We start from the raw sequence: 20,155 nt of genomic DNA, 5'->3' as shown, positions 1-20,155 counted from the left end.
TCATTTATCAAGCACATACTAAGTGCCAATCACTATGCTAAGCTCTGGTTATGAAGACAGAGCCTGACACTGGAGCTTCAAGTTTAGTTTTCATTATGCCAGGGGATTCCAGGAAGATGAGAGAAGAGCATTCAAGACAAAGATGACGGGCTTGCTAAGACCCCTCCACACTGCTTCTAAGTTGTCCAAAAGTTTATGGAAATTCAAGTGTGCTGAGTAGCAATGGGGAAGGCCCTTGGGTTGTAGGGTAGGTTCATCAGCACAACTACCAGGTTCCAGCCTGGGCAAGGCTCTCAATCAACTGTTAAAAGAAATTGCATGAAATCAGGTTGTCCTTTAGAAACAAGGCTATAACCAGTCCTTTTGTCACAGCTCCCTAACCTCCAGCAATGTGCAGTCTGGCTTCACAGTGTGCTGATAATCAATAGATTTTTGTTAGGTATGTAATGGCAATCAGTCCCCAATTTCTTCTTTATATCTGTGATTAGTGTATGTCTTGCATTCTGATTCTATAATTAGACATTACATCTTATTGCTGCCTACATTCCCACTTTTCATATTGTTTGGCTTTATATAAAACTGGGCTGGGTATGTCTAACAAGCACTCCTGGTGGCATCTGGCTAAAGCCAGGATGGCAGGTTAGAAGTGTGACTCAAAAAAAGAAACCATTTGCTTGTACAAATAAGGGTCTTGTGTCCAGCAAGTGAGGTTCCAGTTGATTTAAAAAGGAGAAAGAGCTGTTTATACCAATAATCAGTTGTACTTTGAATAAATTCAGCTCATGGAACATGAACCAAAACCCTTTATTTTCATTTTCCATTGCTGTCTTTAAAATGTGCATACTAGACATAGTCTTTCTATGACCCTAGGTGGAAAATGGGCAGGGGCTGTGACTTCTCTGATCAGTCTAGAAAGTCCTGCAATCTCTTTAAATCACAGACAGTCTAACTTCAGAAATTAGGCTGTCTAGTCCCAGAGGATGATCAGAGCTCAGAACTTGATTTAAGCGGGAAAGGATGTCTTCTTGTCTTTTTTCTCACCCTCTATCTCCCTCACTGAAGTTGGAGCACTGGAAAGGGAAGGGGCACAGTGTGACCGAGAAGGTATTGCTTGAACCATGATGCTGCTTCAAGAGAGCTTCAAGCTCTCTTCTGTGAAGCTTCTGTTGCCTACTGAAAAATAAGTTCAAAGCTGACTCTTTTACCTTATGGACATTTTTTGTGGGCTCTTCAGAGGCTCTTCTGTGAGCCTCTGTTCGTCTCATGCACCAGTCAACGTCACTGTTTGGCCAGCCCCTCCTTGCTCCGCCGCTGGTTGTCTGGGAGAATGCTCCACTTAGATTCTTATGAATAAAGTCTCGTTGCCTCTTCCAGGTGGTACTTCTGGGCATAAGTTAAAACACCCCTAGGCAGGCTTTTCTCCTCCTGTGGCATAAATGTGTGGGGAATCTCACATATTCTTTGACCCGCTAGAGAAATGAGAGAGAATGCAGTTACCCTGCAGATGCCGCAGCACCTCGCCTCCACCCTCCCAGGAAAGCCGCTCGTGCATTTCTCTGCTGCCCTCCATCTTTCTTGGTGAGAGTCTGACTCAAGTCTGTTGCCTCTAAAGTTCTGGGAGACCCATATTAAGCTTTCCCCAGCAGGCTCATTCAAGCCCCTCACCAGGCTGCTGTGAGCAGAGCCCCTTCCCCTTGGTGAGGCTTAAGGAGCAGGTGTGACCTACCGTCCTTCAAACCCTCTTGCCCCAAATCACTTAAACAAATCCCTCCTCCATTTCACCCGCAAAAATTTTGTATCCTACATCTTGTTTAAAGATCCTTGGATGAAGAGCCCAAGGGTTATGAAACTGATTCTCAAAACATTTTAATCCAGTTTCTTTCTTTGATTTACAGCATCTGTTATATCTTGGGTCTTAGTAAAGACTGTGATTATCTCGTGATCTCATTAAATCCTAGTGACAATCATGGGAGGTAGCTGCCACCTTTATCACTCTTTTTCTTATGGGAAGATAAAAACTTAGTAGATGGATGGGCCAAAAGTTTGACTAAACTTCACCTTTTTGTAGTTTCACTTTTTAAGTTATATTTAGAATATATTGATAAATTATAAATTGATTGTGAAACTTTTTTTCTGAATTTTTTGGCATGCTTACTCAGTTACACGAGTATAAAGGGTATTTTCAGTCTTATTATCTGCAATTGCAGTCTTGTTATATGTCTATTCATACAGTAAATTCATTTCAAGATTTATGCCAGTGGGTACTATTGCTGCTTTTTGAAGTTGAGGTGAACTATCCAGGAAGGTCTTGTTAATGTTATGTTCATCTATAATGACATAGGGGAAATACATATATTTTTAATATTGTAAACATTTGTACTGAATAACCTTTCTCTCCCCCACGCCACAAGCAAAACTGGTTGAACAGCGGATGAAGATATGGAATTCAAAGCTCTAATGGACCTTTTTGAAGAGAAGTTGTGGCTTATGTGGAGTTTATATGGGGCTCTGATGGAAGAAAGCTAGTATGTTTAGTATTTGTGCATTTTACTAAAATGGCAGCTTAAAGTTGTGTATCTGCTATTGTGATTCCAATGCTGGTGTTTTAAGTGGGAAAAAAAAATGACCTCTTTGCTTCGTGCTGTGTACACAAGATTTCTGGAAAAGTAAATAAAAACCCTTTTTATGGCTCATACAGCTTAAGAGTAGCTGTCTCTCAAACGTGTGCTCACAGTTGAGCTGCTTTTGTTTTATTCTAAATAAATTGTTTCTTTTAAGGAAAAAAAAAACTTGTGAAAGTAAATGGTTCAAGCTCACACACCTGTTACGTGGGAGGACCAATATCTGATTCTGGGCTTTTATCACTCCAAAGCCCAAGCTCTTAATCATCAACTTATATTTACTAAGACACTTACCATCTTAAATCTAACGTTCTGTAAAGGAAGTTCTAAGGTAGTGTTCAGAACTAAATTTCCTGAACTATATATTAAATTTCCATGCTGTGAATTTTCTTATAAAGCACACATCTCAAATTTCTTTTGTCTGCAAGGTATTGATACTTAAACCCATTATAACATTTTGAAAAATAAGTATATCGATATATTGCACTCAATAAGACACTTGTAACTCAGACACTTAAACCACCCAACTTAATCAATCTAGAATTCTGACCACCTTTAGTGAGAATGTTACTTTCCAATAATATTATTTTAAATAGCTAAACCTGGAGGTCTGTCACAGCTTGATTGCTTTCATTGTCAGAAAGTATACCTTAAAGATTACAAAAGTAGGAGAGTTTTGGGAAGATCCCACTCAGTGTAACATTTCCAACCTTTGAGGATTTCAATTCTAAATTTATATCATCACCATTTTGGTTGAGGAAAATAAAAATCTCAGTGCTATTTATTAGTAAGTGCTTTCTTCATTTCTGTCTATAGGAAAAAGTACTTGAATATCTTGGTCTAAAACTGAGAAAATAAAAAGTTACATCTTTATTTATAGTCTTGATTTATAACACTGCAAGAGCAGAGTTATAACAAGACTAGAACAGGGCACAGAAAATTTTGTGATAATCATATGCTTCTGCTGTATAGTTAGTTTTATTAAGAGACATTTTGACATTAAAGTGGGAAGTATTTTCATTCTGCCACATCAGGCAATACTTAAGTCTCAGGAATTAAAATATTACAGCATTCAAAATTTCTATTACAATAAATATTTCTGGAAATATTCTGGCTTTTTTCTCTAAATTTGTGTTCTTGAACGGAGATTGCTGGGCCTGACATCAGATAGTCAGCCCTACAGTAAGAAGCATATGTGAACACTTGTGATCTTATAAATTATATATCTCATGCATGACTACTAACTAAGCACAACTCAAATCTTACCCTATCAGGCACAATGTCTATTGTAGAAAACCTCTCTCTTCTTCCCTAATTTGGGAACTCAGTTGGGAAATAGTAATACTTAGCAAATATATGTGAAGATTGACCCTAAATTCCGTACATTGCCATAAGTTACCTGAATATCTTCAGTATTGAAACAATATAGGGTTTCAATATTTATATGTTGAAACCAACATATAAATATCCAACCTCATAAAAGTACAGGGTTTTGATTAAATAAACTCTATGATACCCCTTATAAATATCCAACATATAAATATCCAACCTCATAAAAGTACAGGGTTTTGATTAAATAAACTCTATGATACCCCCTAAATAGATAATGTTCTTTAAGTGATATGGATTAGTCTTCCTAAAATGCTTCTGGCAATGATTGAAAGAAAAGTTTAATTTTTTAATTTTTAATTATTTATTTTTTGAGATAGAGTCTTTCTCTGTCACCCAGGCTGGAGTGCAGTGGCGCAATCTTGGCTCACTGCAACCTCCACCCCCCAGGTTCAAGCAGTTTTACCTCAGCCTCTCAAGTAGCTGGGACTACAGATGTGTGCCCCGACATGCAGCTATTTTTTTTTTTGTATTCTTAATAGAGACGGGGTTTCAGTATGTTGGCCAGGCTGGTCTTGACCTCCTGATCTCAAGTGATCCACCTGCCATGGCCTCTCAAAGTGCTGGGATTACAGGTGTGAGCCACTGTGCCCGGCCCCCAAATTTTTAATTTTAATTAATCAGGAAATAGATAAACTAGAAAACCCCAACTCTTGAGAATTATAGGTGAAAAACAGTTCACTGTATTTTTTTGAGCTAGTTGAAAAATGAAGGGTAGGAAAGAGTGTTGATTTATGGGCATTGCCTTATTTAATCTGTCCTGAGGTTCAGAGAGGAGAATGACTTGCTCAGAGTGGTAACAAGTTGAATGACTTTCTCAGAGTGGTAACAAGTTGCACTCCAACCTGAGACCAGAACTATGAAACTACTCACTTCAAACCAGCATTCATTCTAGTCCACTGTGCTGACTTTATTTCTTAAAAATAGAACCTACACTGAGCTACCAATAGCAGTGTTTGCTAGAAAGTACAACAGCTAAAAAACATTAAATACTATGCCTAATAAATAGAACTTTGAGCTGGCCAATTATGAAAGAAGGCTAATCATTAACAATAAATCATTCATCATCCAATTAGTGGAAACTTTTGAAAGATGATGCCTGTAATAATGATAAGTGATAGGGTTTGGCTGTGTCCCCACCCAAATCTCACCTTGAATTGTAATAATCCCCACGTGTCAAGGGTAGGGCCAGGTGGAATAGTTGACTCATGGGGGCAGTTCCTTTAGTGTTCTCATGATAGTGAATAAGAATTACGAGAGCTGATGATTTTATAAACCAGAGTTGCCCTGCACAAGCTCTCTTGCCTGCCACTATTTAAGACATGACTTTGCTCCTCATTTACCTTCCACCTTGATTGTGAGGCCTCTCCAGCCATGTGGAACTGTGAGTCAATTAAACCTCTTTCCTTTATAAACTACCCAGTCTTGGGTATATCTTTATTAGCAGCCTGAGAACAGACTAATACAATAAGCAACATTTGAAGAGCGCTTTACCATTTGACAATCACTTTCACATTCTGTAAGTTGTCTCACTTGAATTTCACACGATGCACTTTCTTTAAATGAGGGAACTAAGACAGTTTAAGTAATTTGGCCAAGGTCTTATTGTTGGTAAAGCTAACACTCAAACTGAAGTCTGGCAGGAGAGAAACAAATAGAAATAGAGACACCTCAGTAGCAGAGATCTGACCCAGCATATGCAGATCGCAGGAATACCACTTTCAGGTGTTTCCTGTCTGACCCTCTGTTTGCATTCTTGCAAAACTACTGAAAGGATATTTACTCTGCTTCCTGCAGTAGTAGAGCATTTCACTCTTAAATAGGTGTCTACAAGGGCCTCGGGATACCTCCTCCATCTGTCCACTTTACACAGAGGATAAATCAGACTTTGTTTACAACCCACTAGAAACAGAAGGCAGTTTATTAGCAGTTTGTTATGATCTACGTGTAGTTTGTAAATCTTACCCCAAAATCAATTCCTGTTGTCCTTCTTGGAAAACAATCAGTTTTGTCAATAACCTTACATGCAAAAGTGCTGAAACAGCAATGGTAAATGAAAGGATGGAAAGTTTATCACAAATAAATACAAAAACAAAAAGGCGTTCCTTTTTTTTTTTTGTATTATAGTATAAGTTCTGGGATACATGGGCAGAATGTGCAGGCTTGTTACATAGGTATACATGTGCCATGGTGGTTTGCTGCACCCATCAACCCGTCATCAACATTAGGTATTTCTCCTAATGCTGTCCCTCCCCTAGCCCCCCCACCCTCCAACAGGCCCCGTTGTGTGATGTTCCCCCCTCTGTCCATATGTTCTCATTGTTCAGCTCCCACTTATGAGTGAGAACATGTGGTGTTTGGTTTTCTGTTCCTGTGTTAGTTTGCTGAGAATGATGGTTTCCAGCTTCATCCATGTCCCTGGGAAGGACATGAACTCATTATTTTTTATGGCTGCATAGCATTCCATGGTGTATATTTGCCACATCCTATTTCTCCACATCCTCTCCAGCATCTGTTGTTTCCTGACTTTTTAATGATCACCATTCTAACTGACATGCGATGGTATCTCATTGTGGTTTTGATTTGCATTTCTCTAATGACTAGTGATAATGAGCTTTTTTTCATATGTTTATTGGCCACATAAATGTCTTATTTTGAGAAGTGTTTGTTCATATCCTTCACCCACTGTTGGTGGGAGGGTAATTTAGTTCAACCATTGTGGAAGACAGTGTGGCAATTCCTCAAGGTTCTAGAGCCAGATATACCATTTGACCCAGCAATCCCATTACTGAGTATATACCCAAAGGATTATAAATCATTCTTACTATAAAGACACCTGCACACATATGTTTACTGCAGCAGTGTTCACAATAGCAAAGACTTGGAACCAACCCAAGTGCCCATCAATGATAGACTGGTTAAAGAAAATGTGGCACATATACACCATGGAATACTATGCAGCCATAAAAAAGGATGAGTTTGTGTCCTTTGTAGGGACATGGATGAAACTGGAAACCATCATTCTCAGCAAACTGACACAGGAGCAGAAAACCGAACACTGCATGTTCTCACTCATAAGTGGGAGTCCAACAATGAGAACACATGGACACAGGGAGGGGGACATCACGCACCGGGGCCTGTCAGCGGGTGGGAGAGTAGGGGAGGGACAGCATTAGGAGAAATACCTAATGTAAATGATGGGTTGATGGGTGCAGCAAACCATCATGGCACATGTATACCTGTGTAACAAACCTGCATGTTCTGCACATGTATCCCAGAACTTAAAGTATAATAAAAAAAGATAAATATTTTTAAAAATTGCTTTCTCCAAAGGGTGAGTGAAGTGCCTGACCAGAAGGCATAGGGAGCAAAGTGGAAAGTGCCAGCACAAAAGGATAATAATTAGGAAAGGCAAGAATGAGGCAGCTCAGTAACAGCATAAACATAAAGACATTCTTTGTTCATTCCATCCCTTTTTGAGCACAGCTCAGCATGGACTGAAATTGTCCATTTCAGCTTTTGTATCTGAGTTGCTCTCACATCTAAAGTGAATTATATTATCATGAGTAACATTTTTGTCTATTTTTTGTCCACATTTACTCAATAAGCATTCCTGATGACAACTACCTGTCAACTATTGTGCTCATCAATGAGGATGAAACGATTGATACCATCTCTCTCCTTAAGAATTTCAGAGTTTAATGGATTGAAAAAATCCTCACCTAAACCATGAGTTAATTATAAGTTGTTTTGCACAGCCAATCTCTATCAACTTAAAATTCTGTAAGCATTATAAGGATCTTAATTTTGGATATTTCTTTGAAGGTGCCAGGAAGACAGAAGAATTCTAATACAATGCTTTGAGATCAAATGGCAGAATGGTGTTAGATATTTCAGAACATAATACCATAAAAGATAAACATCACAGCGTGAAATTAAGAATAAAATCAAATGCCAGAAAAACCTGGGTTTAAATCGTGTGATCCCAGCTGTGAGACACTGGGCAAGCTAGTTAACCTTTCTAAGGCTTAGTTTCTTTACTGAAATAATATAGTGAAAGCACTTACATTGTGGGGTTTTGTGAGGATTAATGACATCATGCAAATAAAGTTCTTTGCACCTAGTAAATGTTCAATATACAGTTGCTATTATTATTTTAATAGTAGTATTACCTCATTATTACTATCTGAATACAATTAGCCTTATGTTTTCTCCTATATCCACCATTGAGGCAGACAAGGAGAAATAGCTGCAGTTAAATTCTAACATACTCTTACAAGAGATAGAGCCATCTCTGTTTTCTGTGTTGATAATTAGCAGCTGTGAATAGAACGCTGGCAGCTCCACAAACGCATGGTGAAAGAGAAGAACATTAAGAATCTATCCAGCAAGATGGGGGAAGGGCACAAAAATGGCAATTATTGTAAATGAAGCCACTAAACATTTTTATAGTTATTTTGGGCATTGTAAGAAATACATGGATTCACATGGGATGCTTTCTTAGATGCCATTTAATCAAAGCTTTATACAGAGTCTATTAAGTGTGCTGAGAAGAATTCACTAAACATAGACTGGAAACCTAAAGGGGTAAAAATTTGGAAGTGCAAACCGGGAGTCTGTATTTACCACCTTTCTTTGAGGAAAACTCAGGGATGGAAAAGAGATCACCCATGCAGATTAGAATTTACCTTGCAACTACTTGGCAATATTTAGTTTTAAAAACCCACGTAATAATACAACATGTTCCAAGATTTTCTGTAGTGATGTTTTGTATGCACAACACACTGATTCTAATTGAAATGCTGAGTGGTTTTCTTCTCCAAGGCTCAAATTCTTGATACATCGTCTGAATATCAAATACCCAGAACAATGCTGCAACACTGGGAGATGTGCAAATAAATGTGTTGCGTCGGGTTTCTGCCATGATACCAAGAACAGCTAATCATCCTCAGCCCCAGATGGCTGGAAACAAAATAGTTTTGAAATCTAGGTGACCTATTTTTCAAAACTTTTGTTGCAGTTGTCTTGGAAGAAAATAATCTGGATAAAAGGAAGAAGGAGGCATTGCTGTGCTTGCAGAGACTCTAAATCCAAAGGTCTTCCTGGGTAAACATGACGATTAATTTAAAGGAAAATAATCTAGATAAAAAGAATAAGGCATTGCTGTGCTTGCTGGGACTGTAAATCCAAAGGTCTTCTTCCTAGAAAAACATGACCATTAATTTAAGAGATCACGAACTTAAGTATGTTATTTGAGAAACTGCTACTTTCACAACTTCTGCAAAAGCCTCATTGAGAATCCTTCCAAACAGTCCTCATTTATTCCCAAGGCTTCAGAAGTAAGAGTATTATGTATAATTTATTGTCCAGACCTGGGCACTTTTAGAACACTGCTAATAGTCGTACCAGGACAGCAGGTGTAAAGTTAGTCTTTCGTGAGCTACTTGAAATATTACCATTGCTTTACCCAGAAGTGTAAATTACCTCGCAACCCCCCAAAGGATTTATTTCATCTTTCATGATTTCTTTTTCTAAAAATTCCAAGCAGTGCCTTTTATGGTCAAACCAGATCGTCGTGGTCTCATTGAAATCTCTCCCCTTGTCCATCCAAAATAGAACTGACGTGACCCTTGTTTCTGCATTGCATTGCCTCTGTGAATCTGGCCGGGGACACTCACTTTCATTTCCTGCCCATTCATTTTGTTCCAATCTAACAACTTGGCCTCAATTCTTCTGTTAAAGAAAAAATTATTCAATGTTATTTGTTAAAGCATGGTTAAAAAAAAAATCCTTTATTCAGGACCATCATGATAAATATAGGGACCACTGTGACAGTCTTGCAGTGGGGGAGAGAGATTGAGCTCACCTCCTAATACAGCATGAGCAAGTGGGAATGTATAGCCAAGAAGCAGAGTGAGGGTCAGTGGAAGGAAAATTACCAACAGCAAACATCAGCGGTAAGGGAAATTCTGACTAAACTGAACTAATAGGATTCTGGCTTAAGATAGGGCAGGATGGGCTGGGTGTGGTGGCTCACACCTGTAATCCCAGCACTTTGGGAGGCTGAGGCCGGCGGCTCATGAGGTCAGGAGTTCAAGACCAGCCTGGCCAACATAGTGAAACCCTGTCTCTACTAAAAACACAAAAATTAGCCAGACATGGTGGCGTGTGCCTCTAGTCCCAGCTACTAGGGAGGCTGAGGCAGGAGAATCACTTGAACCCGGGAGGTGGAAGTTGCAGTGAGCCAAGATTGCACCACTGCACTCCAGCCTGGCGACAGAGCGAGACTCCACCTCAAAAAAACAATAACAAAAAAAAAAAATAGGGCAAGATGATCCGATATCACATGGGAGGCAGTGGAGGATGAGGAACCTAATCATATATTGAGGGTGATCAGATGTTGAGGGTGGAGGCTTTTTGCCAAACTGACTTAGCAGCTTCTTTGCTAAACCTGAATTTTACAAGGACATACACAGATGGACTTAGGACCCTGATGAAAGTTTGGCCAGGCAAAGAATCTTTGTCAGTTTCTAAAACCTTGAATCTGCTTACATTCTTTATCAACCTTCTAACTGGCCTGAAATGACTCAGGCTTCACCCACGGTTAAACAAATGTAAGTGTATTGGTAGGAAATCACCGAGTGTGCCAGACTCTGCAGAGACCATTTATTGAGCATTTTCTATGTGCCAGGAACAATGCCAAGCTCTTTGCTTACATTATTTTTATTTAATAATTGGAATCATCTTGTCAGATGGCTGTTCTTCCTATTTTACAGATAGGAAAGTGAGGTTTAGAAAGGTTAAACAACCTCTATGGTCTTGTAGATAATGAATGGCCAAGCTTATTTCAAACCAGGCTGAGCTGACTTCAGTGTCTGCTTCCTTAACCATAGCACTCAGCTGCATCTTCTTTGACTCTTGTGTTTCCTCTGCTTTGTTCAGAAAGTTTTGCAGGGAATAAATATTTCACAGAACAAAGTTTTTTTTTTTTTTTTTTGAGACAGAGTCTCATTCTGTTTCCCAGGCTGGAGTGCAGAGGCGCGATCTCGGCTCACTGCAAGCTCCGCCTCCTGGGTTCACACCATTCTCCTGCCTCAGCCTCCCGAGTAGCTGGGACTACAGGCGCCCGCCACCACGCCCGGCTAATTTTTTTGTATTTCTAGTAGAGACGGGGTTTCACCATGTTAGCCAGGATGGTCTCAATCTCCTGACCTCATGATCTGCCCACCTCGGCCTCCCAAAATGCTGGGATTACAGGCGTGAACCACAGCTCCTGGCCAGAACAAAGCTTTTTATGTGACAACATCTAACCTTGCTTTAACCTTTTGAAATTATAATGGTTTAGAGACATAAGGCTTAGTGATTTTTCTGTCCTCCCCTGCCCCACACCCAGGGTTTACTGATGACACCTAAGCATCTTCTTTTAGTTTTCAAAGGGCTGTCTCGAGCATCCTCTGATTTTATTCTCAAGAAGTGAGGAGGTGACCTAGGCAAGGCTGGGATTATGACTTTATAAATGAGAAAACAGTCATGAAAGGGCTAAATTCTTAGCCAAGGTCATGCATCTGTGACAAAAACTGATGTCAGCCAACTCTTAATTCAGGGACATCCTAACACTATGTGAGAGAGAAATTCCTCCCTCCCTTCCCTCTTTCCTGCCTTCTCTCCTCTTCCTTCCCTTCTCCCTTACACACCTTGCATGTAAAACTGTTTCTTCAGTAGTCTCAATTACATGTTACAATGTTAACTCTTAGCCACTTTTATTTTTGGTGAAAAACTTGGTAAGCAAGTGATTCTAATTATGTACCAGGTGTGGCACCTAGGACACCAGACAGAAGTGCAGATAAGGTCTGACACTTTCCAGCATTGCTAGGGGGAATGGCTAATTCCACATGTCCCCATACCGTATCTAGGATCTAATGGCTCTAAAGCAGGTAAGCTGAACAATTTTCAAAAGTCAGAGAAGCAGTTTATGACCTTAAAGCATTTAGCAAACCAAATATCTGACCTGCCTAATTTAGGTCAAATCTCCAAATTTTACCAATAATCTTATAATTGTCTTTATTTCCCAAAGATTATTTAAGTCATGTGAACTAAAAGGCATTAGTTTTTGTTTTTCTGACAATATTTGATTTAAGCACTTATTATTTTTCAGCCAGTTAATCAGAGCTCTTTCATATATAAACATCACACACACAACAAATATAAATACACAGACAGAAATAGTTTCAGTACGTGTAAGTTTTTTTCATTTGCCAGTTTTTAATGTTTCTCTTTAAAACACACAGTTTCTAGGACCTAATAATGTGGCACAGCTGGAAGACAAAACAGATCTCCCAAAATTAAGGATCCCATTTTTATATTACATCTTGAATCCCAAAAGGACACTACAGAACAAGACAATGCAAAGATTTTACCATGCATTTTATTGCAAGGCAACCCAAAACCAATCAACTCATTTTGTGATTAGCCCACCCTGATGGGAGCCTTATCTCTCAGTGGAGGGGTGGAGACTTTTCCATACCTTCCAGATGGCCAAGAGCATGCTTCTCCCAATCCAAATGTGCAAAGAGCCAAGTATCCTCTCATGACTGCCATTAGCCACCCCTAAAAGTATATTTCCTACCTAGTTATTATAAATCAAAATTCTCACATACTGCGAAGTAATTTCTGATACCCCTAAAAAGTCAAAAAACGTCAGATAAAGCAAAGCAAAACAGAACAGAGCCTTAGATTTTAAGAGGGATCTGTCTGCTTTTAATCCCTGGGGTTTCATGAGGAAAATAGACGTTTTTCCCAAAACGCAGTCTGTGGCCCCTCTTCTGTTTTTCCCAAGGAGTCCCAGGTTGTATTATCTTAGGTCCTCTCATGTGTGCATCAAGAGTAGCAAGAAGACAAAATGGAGAAAAACAATTAAGTCTACTGAGAAGAAAAGAAAAAAACCTTTTTTCCAGAAAAACACAATCCAAGAAGAGAATAAAACATAAAGGCCTTTAAAATATACCTATAGCTTGAATATCTGCTTTTAATTGAGCTGACTTTTAACCGTAGTACTCCTTAAAAAATAAAATCCTTTTAAATCTCTTATTACTATCCTATGAGATGTTTTGGCTCTATGTTGCCACCCAATTCTCATCTTGAATTTTAATCCCCATGTGTTGAGTGAGGGACCTAGTGGTGGGTGATTGGATCATGCTGTTCTCATGACGGTAAGTTCTCACAAGATCTGATGCTTTAAAAGTGTTTGGCAGTTCCTCCTGCATTCTCTCCTGCTGCCATGTGAAGAAGGTTCCTTGCTTCCCTTTTGCCTTCTGCCATGATTGTAAGTTTCCTGAGGCCTCTGAAGCCATGCCAAACTGTGAGTCAATTAAAGCTCTTTCCTTTATAAATTACCCAGTCTCAGGGAAGTTCTTTATATCAGTGTAAAACCAGACAAATACACCCTACTTTAGCTGGGCAAAACAGCCAATATTTCTGGCTTTTAAACTTTACCAAAAATAAACTCACAGGTGAAACCAATAAGGCTTAACTAAGGTTATGATTTGACCATGAATGGACAAGTTCTTTTCAAAGAGGTGGTTAGCAGTTTTTACAAGATTTAGAATCTCCACAGGTAGCTCAGAGAAAGGAAGATTCAAGAAATGAAGCCAGAAGTAGTTCATGGAGGAGAAGAGAATCAACAAATGGTAAAGGTCACACAGATATTAAGCCAGAAAGGACCCATTCCCTAAGCTGGGAATTGAACCCTGAACCCAGGCCGTCATTGTGAAAAGACAAAGCCTTAGCTACTAAGCCACAGCACTGGGCAATTTCCATTGCTCTTCCCAGAGGGAGTCTAGAGCAGCCAATTTTGAGCTTGCAAAGGCTTTTAACTGCTTGAGGTAATTTTTGGGGCTAACTACAACATGAACCCCTAAATTCCTGTCCTCTGGATAAGCAGAGACTAAAAGAAAGTACTGCCATATGGTCACAAGCTCAAGCTTCCAAGGACATAAAACAAGACGAGAAGGAAACTTCATTCAGTTGTTTTTGCTTGTTTGTTTCAGGGACCTGCAGCAAAGTTTGTTACTGACCAACTTGCCAGGCTGGCTTTAACAGTGGGCTTATGGGGTCCTAAGCCCATGTTCTATCCTAAGGTACTCCTCTTTATGGCAGTACAATACAGGAAGATAAATTTATAGCACAAAGTACACCAGATTTGCTACAGCTTCAGACGTACCTCACAAATTCTTTTCCCATTAATCAAAACTTTACAGAGGGGATGAACAGTTATTTTTGCCATTTATTCAACCAGTTATGCACACAGGGAGGCCCAAAGCCTGACTGGTAAGAAATTCCCACCCTTTTGCCAGCACGCCAGGCTTCTGTGTTCCCTTTCCTTGGGCAGCCCTAGTGACTTGGCTCGCCACACCACAGCCCTGGGGGCCAAACCGCAACACAAAGGAAAACCATCTTCTTCCATTCTGAGCAGAGCAAAATACGTGTGACAAAACATAGACATTAGCCACTCCAGTTAGCACCCAATATTGAACTGGCCAGGCTCAAACTTGCCCCTACTTGGGCCTTGTCATCTTTGATCCACTCAAAGTGGGGTGGAATGATCCTTCCGACCAAGTGTTTCAGCATGTGGTGTCTGGGCAAGATGGTCGCCCTGAGTAACAGAAAAGATATAAAAGGAGAGAAAAGGAGAAAAGCATTGTCTGTGGCAGGGTGGGGAAGGCAAGGAGCTAAGAGAGGCAGAGAAAGACCCACTTATTGCAGCAACACTGAATCAAAAGTTCAGGTCACCACTTGTCAATAGTGAAGGAATCTTCACTACTGTCCCATCAGCTCTCGAGTTTCTCCCTTTCCAGAGAAAAAAAGCTCCCCATGTCCAGTTATCGTGTACATGCCTAGTCCTGTCACCCATAGCTGTCAGCAAAGAGTGCAAGGCAGATTAATCCAAAGAGAATAGCAATTAACATCCCATTATGCCAAATCCATTTTTAACCAAGAGGGACTTCACTGAGAGAGGCCTTTAAACCTCTAAATCTTAGGAAGGACTCTAACCTTCCTAAGTTGGGGCTGGAACCCAAGTTTGGTCAAGCATCCTTGCCTTTTATTAAGAGGGGCCTTTAACCTTCTCTGTCTTAGGAGGTACTCTAACCCAATACCATCATTTAACTGGGTAAGGTTTACCCCACCACTTACCCAAAGTCAGCCAATTGGTTCTGCAGTCTATTTCCTTTGGGTCAGGGATCTCCTCAGGATAGTCCCTTCGTGGTTGCCAAGAACATGTTGCCAAAAAGGGGTAGGTCCCAGTGCAGATCCTAAGAGAGGGTTCTTGGACCTTGCACGAGAAAGAATTCGGGATGAGTCCACAGAGTAAAATGAAAGCAAGCTTATTAAGGAAGTAAAAGAATAAAGAATGGCCACTCCATGGGCGGAGTAGTGGTGTGGGCTGCTCACCTGTTTATACTTAAAATTACTTCTTTAATAATTACATGCTAAACAAGGGGTGGATTATTCATGAGTTTTCCAGGAAAGGGGTGGGCAGTTCCCGGAACCGAGAGTTTATCCCATTTTTGGACCATATAGGGTGACTTCTTGATGTTTCCATGACATTTGTGAACTATCATGGCACGGTGGGAGTGTCCCTTAGCATCCTAATACATTATAATTAATGTATAATGAGCAATGAGGACAACCAGAGGTCACTTTCATCACCATCTTGGTTTTGGTGGGTTTGGGCCAGCTTCTTTACCACAATCTGTTTTATCAGCAAGGTCTTTGTGACCTGTATCTTGTGCTGACCTCCTATTTCATCTGTTATTAAAATGCCTAACCTCCTGGGAATGCAGTCCAGTAGGTCTCAGCCTTATTTTACCCAGCTCCTATTCAAGATGGAGTTGTTCTGGTTTGAATGCCTCTGACACCTTCCTTCCTTCCTTGTTTTTTATCTATCTATGAAGACAGTGATTAAAAAGGAAAAGAAAACATCAATCTCCTGATCTAACTCTTTTAAAACCAGTTCAAACTTACCCAATTTAGGAAGACTTTGTGAAGGAAGATAGGGTGGGTACAGTAAGATCTTCCTTCTATATCACCATTGTATTTAATATACCTGAGTTTGAGTTTGAGTTTGAGTTTGAGCTGAGCCTCCTATTAGCCTGGTTAACTCAAGGGATTTAGTGAGTCACTTTGAACCAGAATTTCTTCTCATTACATTAAAATGATAATGGTTTTTATTTGATCAATTTTTAGAGGATTTTAGGGACAATACCTATAAGGCACTTAGACCAATGCTGGGTACAACAAGTACATAACACATTACAGTTTGTCTTTTTATTGTTATTATGTTATTGAAGAAGAGCAAGAAAGACGTAAGAAGATATTTCTATATAACACCTTGCCATATTCTATCAAGCTGCAGGTGGGATCAATTAATAAGAGCAAGACAACAAAAATAATGGTGGTAGAAAATGTATGTTTGGAATGTTTACAGAGGGCATCATTTGTAAGCATATGGCACCTTAGATGGTAGAAGAAAACTACCTTGCATTATAAGTACTCTAGAATAAAAACAAATTTAAGGTCTTGTGCCTTGTATCCACAGGACCTAACTCAGTGCTTGACAAATAGTAAATATTCAAAAATGTAGATTTATTAATAAAAGAATTATGTAATTTTCTTCTTATCTGTGTAGCCCTATCCTCTTTCAGTGGCACAAAATAAGTCCTCACTGAAGTGTCTGGTTAAGTGAATTACTCTTTATAATAAATAGCATCTTCTGAATATTGAATTTGATTGTATTAAAGCCCCTCTGGAGATGTGAGAATACTTTCCCACGGGCAGTGAAAAATTATTAGGTCATTTCACCACAGTATTTTCAGGTACGTTATACATCTCTCTTTGGGGGTTTTACACATTCATTATATTTTGTAAAGTGTTAATGTGTCTGGGGTTACTCTCCCTAGGCTACTGTAAAGAGACAGCCATGGCTGGTGGATAAGACAGAATGAGTACTTTTTAAGCCATGTGGCTTTCTTTCCTGTAATGTCTAATAATGGTTATACAGACTGCATAGTAAATGAGACAAAGGCAGAGCTGTAATTGCTAAAAATAACTATGTCGAAAGACACAGAAGAGTAAGAGAGTCATCTTGTGAATATTGAAGAGGAATATCAACTTTTTACTACATTTGACCAATGATAACCTGTTCTAAAAAATTGCCTTTGATTAGACACTCAGTTTTGAGAGAAAATAAGTGGTTTCTTTGAAAAGTAACCAATCTTCCCCTCATAGTATTGCACAAAATTCATGTTAATAGCCCAAACAAAAAATTGTAATAGAACATACCATCGAGAATGTACAAAGTCATTGTGTTAAACTTTCCCCCCATTCTCTTTGAAAAATGTCTTTAATCATACAAATGTTTCTTATTTTTGGAAGAGTTATTTGGCATGATCTTTACATGTTAGTTTGAAAAGTATTCCATTTAACATATGTGAGAGGGCTAAGATACCAAATGCCAGGTAAATCAACCTATTTACAAAAATATACGTATATCTAGATTTTTTTGTATCTGATAACGTAGGATATATGGTATTCTCTCTAATCTTATATTAAAATAAGATGAACAGGACATAAAGGCCAAGTAGCTTAGGAAAGCCAACCCTACTAGTGAAATGCAAAATATATACAGTATTCTAAATTTTCCACTATTTCCTTTAGTTGCAATACAGTGTTGATGATGCGTGGTTAAATTTTTTGAAATTCAAAATGTAATTAATAACATAATATTCTTATTTTTCATCCCCCAAAAATGCTTTGCTGATGTTGTGTAACTATACTAGTTTTATAAAAGCAATGTATTCTCTCCTGCAATAACCACATGAAATGGGGATGCAGAGGGATAAAAAAAAAGAGGATGGAATGGAAATGAACTTTCTTTTCTATCTCTAATTTTTTTAAGTTAGATAACTTTTTAAGAACATTAATTACCTTGGCATCAAGAGAACAGTAAATGATAGGTAGTCTTGTTTCATCGAACAAAACACCAAACTTGTCATCTTCAGTATCAGATGATTTAGTTTTTTCTTCATTTCATTTCTAATAATACCGAAATATTATCACCTTCCTTCTATGACTGACATTGTCCCATGCAACTCTTTCGTTAGCTACACTTGGCTGGGGCTAGTCATGTATTTTAAAACCACAGGTCAAATACTCTTCACTCAATGAGACAAAATATAAATAAATTATAGCCTGTGACATTTTGGAACTCATTGGTGCAAATCCTCCAAGATTTAGAGATTTGGGAAATCATGAAGAGGAATTTTTAGGAAAAAGCTGCTACTTACACAAGGTACCTCACACGTGCAAAGCAGGTAATCAGAAACAAAGAAGAAAAGAGTAGGGAAGGGGAGTTAAAAGGAGAAAAGACGGGGAGAGGAATAACTAAAAAGAGCAAGAGACAAACCTGAATCCTGTGATAGCAAGTTATAACAGCATCCTTAAATGATTGCACAGGTATTTATAAAATCATCAAGGTGAGAACTGCAACAAGAAGGAAAATACTAAGATTAGTCATTTGCAGCAAAATCAGGGAGAGATTACAAACAGCAATCGGTTGATTTTTTAAAATGTTATAGATATGGAGGAGCCTTTAGGAATCATTCTGTTCCTTGTCTTTAAAATGTCACACCATCAAATACTTTTGTATTGTAAATTATTTATGAAAACTCAGAGTAAATAGGAGGGACACCTTTCGACAGGAAGTAGGTATTTCATAATTATTTTGAAATACTCTAGGGAGACTGCTTCCTAAGAGGTCCCAGCCATGGGAAATCGCCAGGAAGGTGATACCCATATTTCCTCCCACACTTTAGTATGAAAGAAATATAATTTTAAGGGCCTGGAGGAGCCAAGATGGCCGAATAGGAACGGCTCCGGTCTACAGCTCCCAGCATGAGCGACGCAGAAGACGGTGATTTCTGCATTTCCATCTGAGGTACCGGGTTCATCTCACTAGGGAGTGCCAGACAGCAGGCGCAGGTCAGTGGGTGCGCGCACCGTGCGCGAGCCGAAGCAGGGAGAGGCATTGCCTCACTTGGGAAGCGCAAGGGGTCAGGGAGTTCCCTTTCCGAGTCAAAGAAAGGGGTGACTGACGGCACCTGGAAAATCGGGTCACTCCCACCCGAATACTGCGCTTTTCCGACGGGCTTAAAAAACGGCGCACCACGAGATTATACCCCGCACCTGGCTCGGAGGGTCCTACGCCCACGGAGTCTCGCTGATTGCTAGCACAGCAGTCTGAGATCAAACTGCAAGGTGGCAGCGAGGCTGGGGGAGGGGCGCCCGCCATTGCCCAGGCTTGCTGAGGTAAACAAAGCAGCCTCGAAGCTCCAACTGGGCGGAGCCCACCACAGCTCAAGGAGGCTTGCCTGCCTCTGTAGGCTCCACCTCTGGGGGCAGGGCACAGACAAACAAAAAGACAGCAGTAACCTCTGCAGACTTAAATGTCCCTGTCTGACAGCTTTGAAGAGAGCAGTGGTTCTCCCAGCACGCAGCTGGAGATCTGAGAACGGGCAGACTGCCTCCTCAAGTGGGTCCCTGACTCCTGACCCCCGAGCAGCCTAACTGGGAGGCACCCCCCAGCAGGGGCACACTGACACCTCACATGGCAGGGTACTCCAACAGACCTGCAGCTGAGGGTCCTGTCTGTTACAAGGAAAACTAACAAACAGAAAGGACATCCACACCAAAAACCCATCTGTACATCACCATCATCAAAGACCAAAAGTAGATAAAACCACAAGGATGGGGAAAAAACAGAACAGAAAAACTGGAAACTCTAAAAAGCAGAGCGCCTCTCCTCCTCCAAAGGAATGCAGTTCCTCACCAGCAATGGAACAAAGCTGGACGGAGAATGACTTTGACGAGCTGAGAGAAGAAGGCTTCAGATGATCAAATTACTCTGAGCTACGGGAGGACATTCAAACCAAAGGCAAAGAAGTTGAAAACTTTGAAAAAAATTTAGAAGAATGTATAACTAGAATAACCAATACAGAGAAGTGCTTAAAGGAGCTGATGGAGCTGAAAACCAAGGCTCGAGAACTACGTGAAGAATGCAGAAGCCTCAGGAGCCAATGCCATCAACTGGA

The 20,155-nt window shown here is 39.8% G+C and overlaps 1 protein-coding gene and 1 long non-coding RNA gene across 9 annotated transcripts in view, besides 1 other annotated feature; one reads left to right on the top strand and one right to left on the bottom strand.

The window, feature by feature from the left end:
• The window catches only part of JAKMIP2 (janus kinase and microtubule interacting protein 2), a 197,291-nt gene that overhangs the window by 41,948 nt on the left and 135,188 nt on the right, over positions 1–20,155 (top strand). The window lies entirely within an intron of this gene.
• On the bottom strand, positions 1,206–18,551 carry LOC105378218 (uncharacterized). 2 transcript variants are annotated; one of them, XR_001742934.2, is made up of 3 exons: positions 18,472–18,551; positions 15,201–15,339; positions 1,206–1,469 (listed from the first exon to the last, which is right to left on the bottom strand). It is a non-coding gene; the product is annotated as an uncharacterized LOC105378218 (long non-coding RNA). The 2 variants fall into 2 exon arrangements; XR_001742933.2 differs by lacking the exon at positions 1,206–1,469 and adding an exon at positions 14,275–14,661.
• Positions 18,540–19,330: an enhancer, noted in NCBI's record as "NANOG-H3K27ac-H3K4me1 hESC enhancer chr5:147101014-147101804 (GRCh37/hg19 assembly coordinates)". NCBI's record gives its function as "activates a minimal SCP1, AML or CMV promoter by ChIP-STARR-seq in naive H9 embryonic stem cells {active_cell/tissue: H9 hESC(naive)}" and the evidence as "EXISTENCE:reporter gene assay evidence [ECO:0000049][PMID:30033119]".

This window comes from Homo sapiens, chromosome 5, assembly GCF_000001405.40.
Source record: "Homo sapiens chromosome 5, GRCh38.p14 Primary Assembly".
NCBI classification, from domain to species: domain Eukaryota; kingdom Metazoa; phylum Chordata; class Mammalia; order Primates; family Hominidae; genus Homo; species Homo sapiens.
Note: the sequence above shows the minus strand (reverse complement) of the source record. Positions and strands in the feature narration are given on the sequence as shown.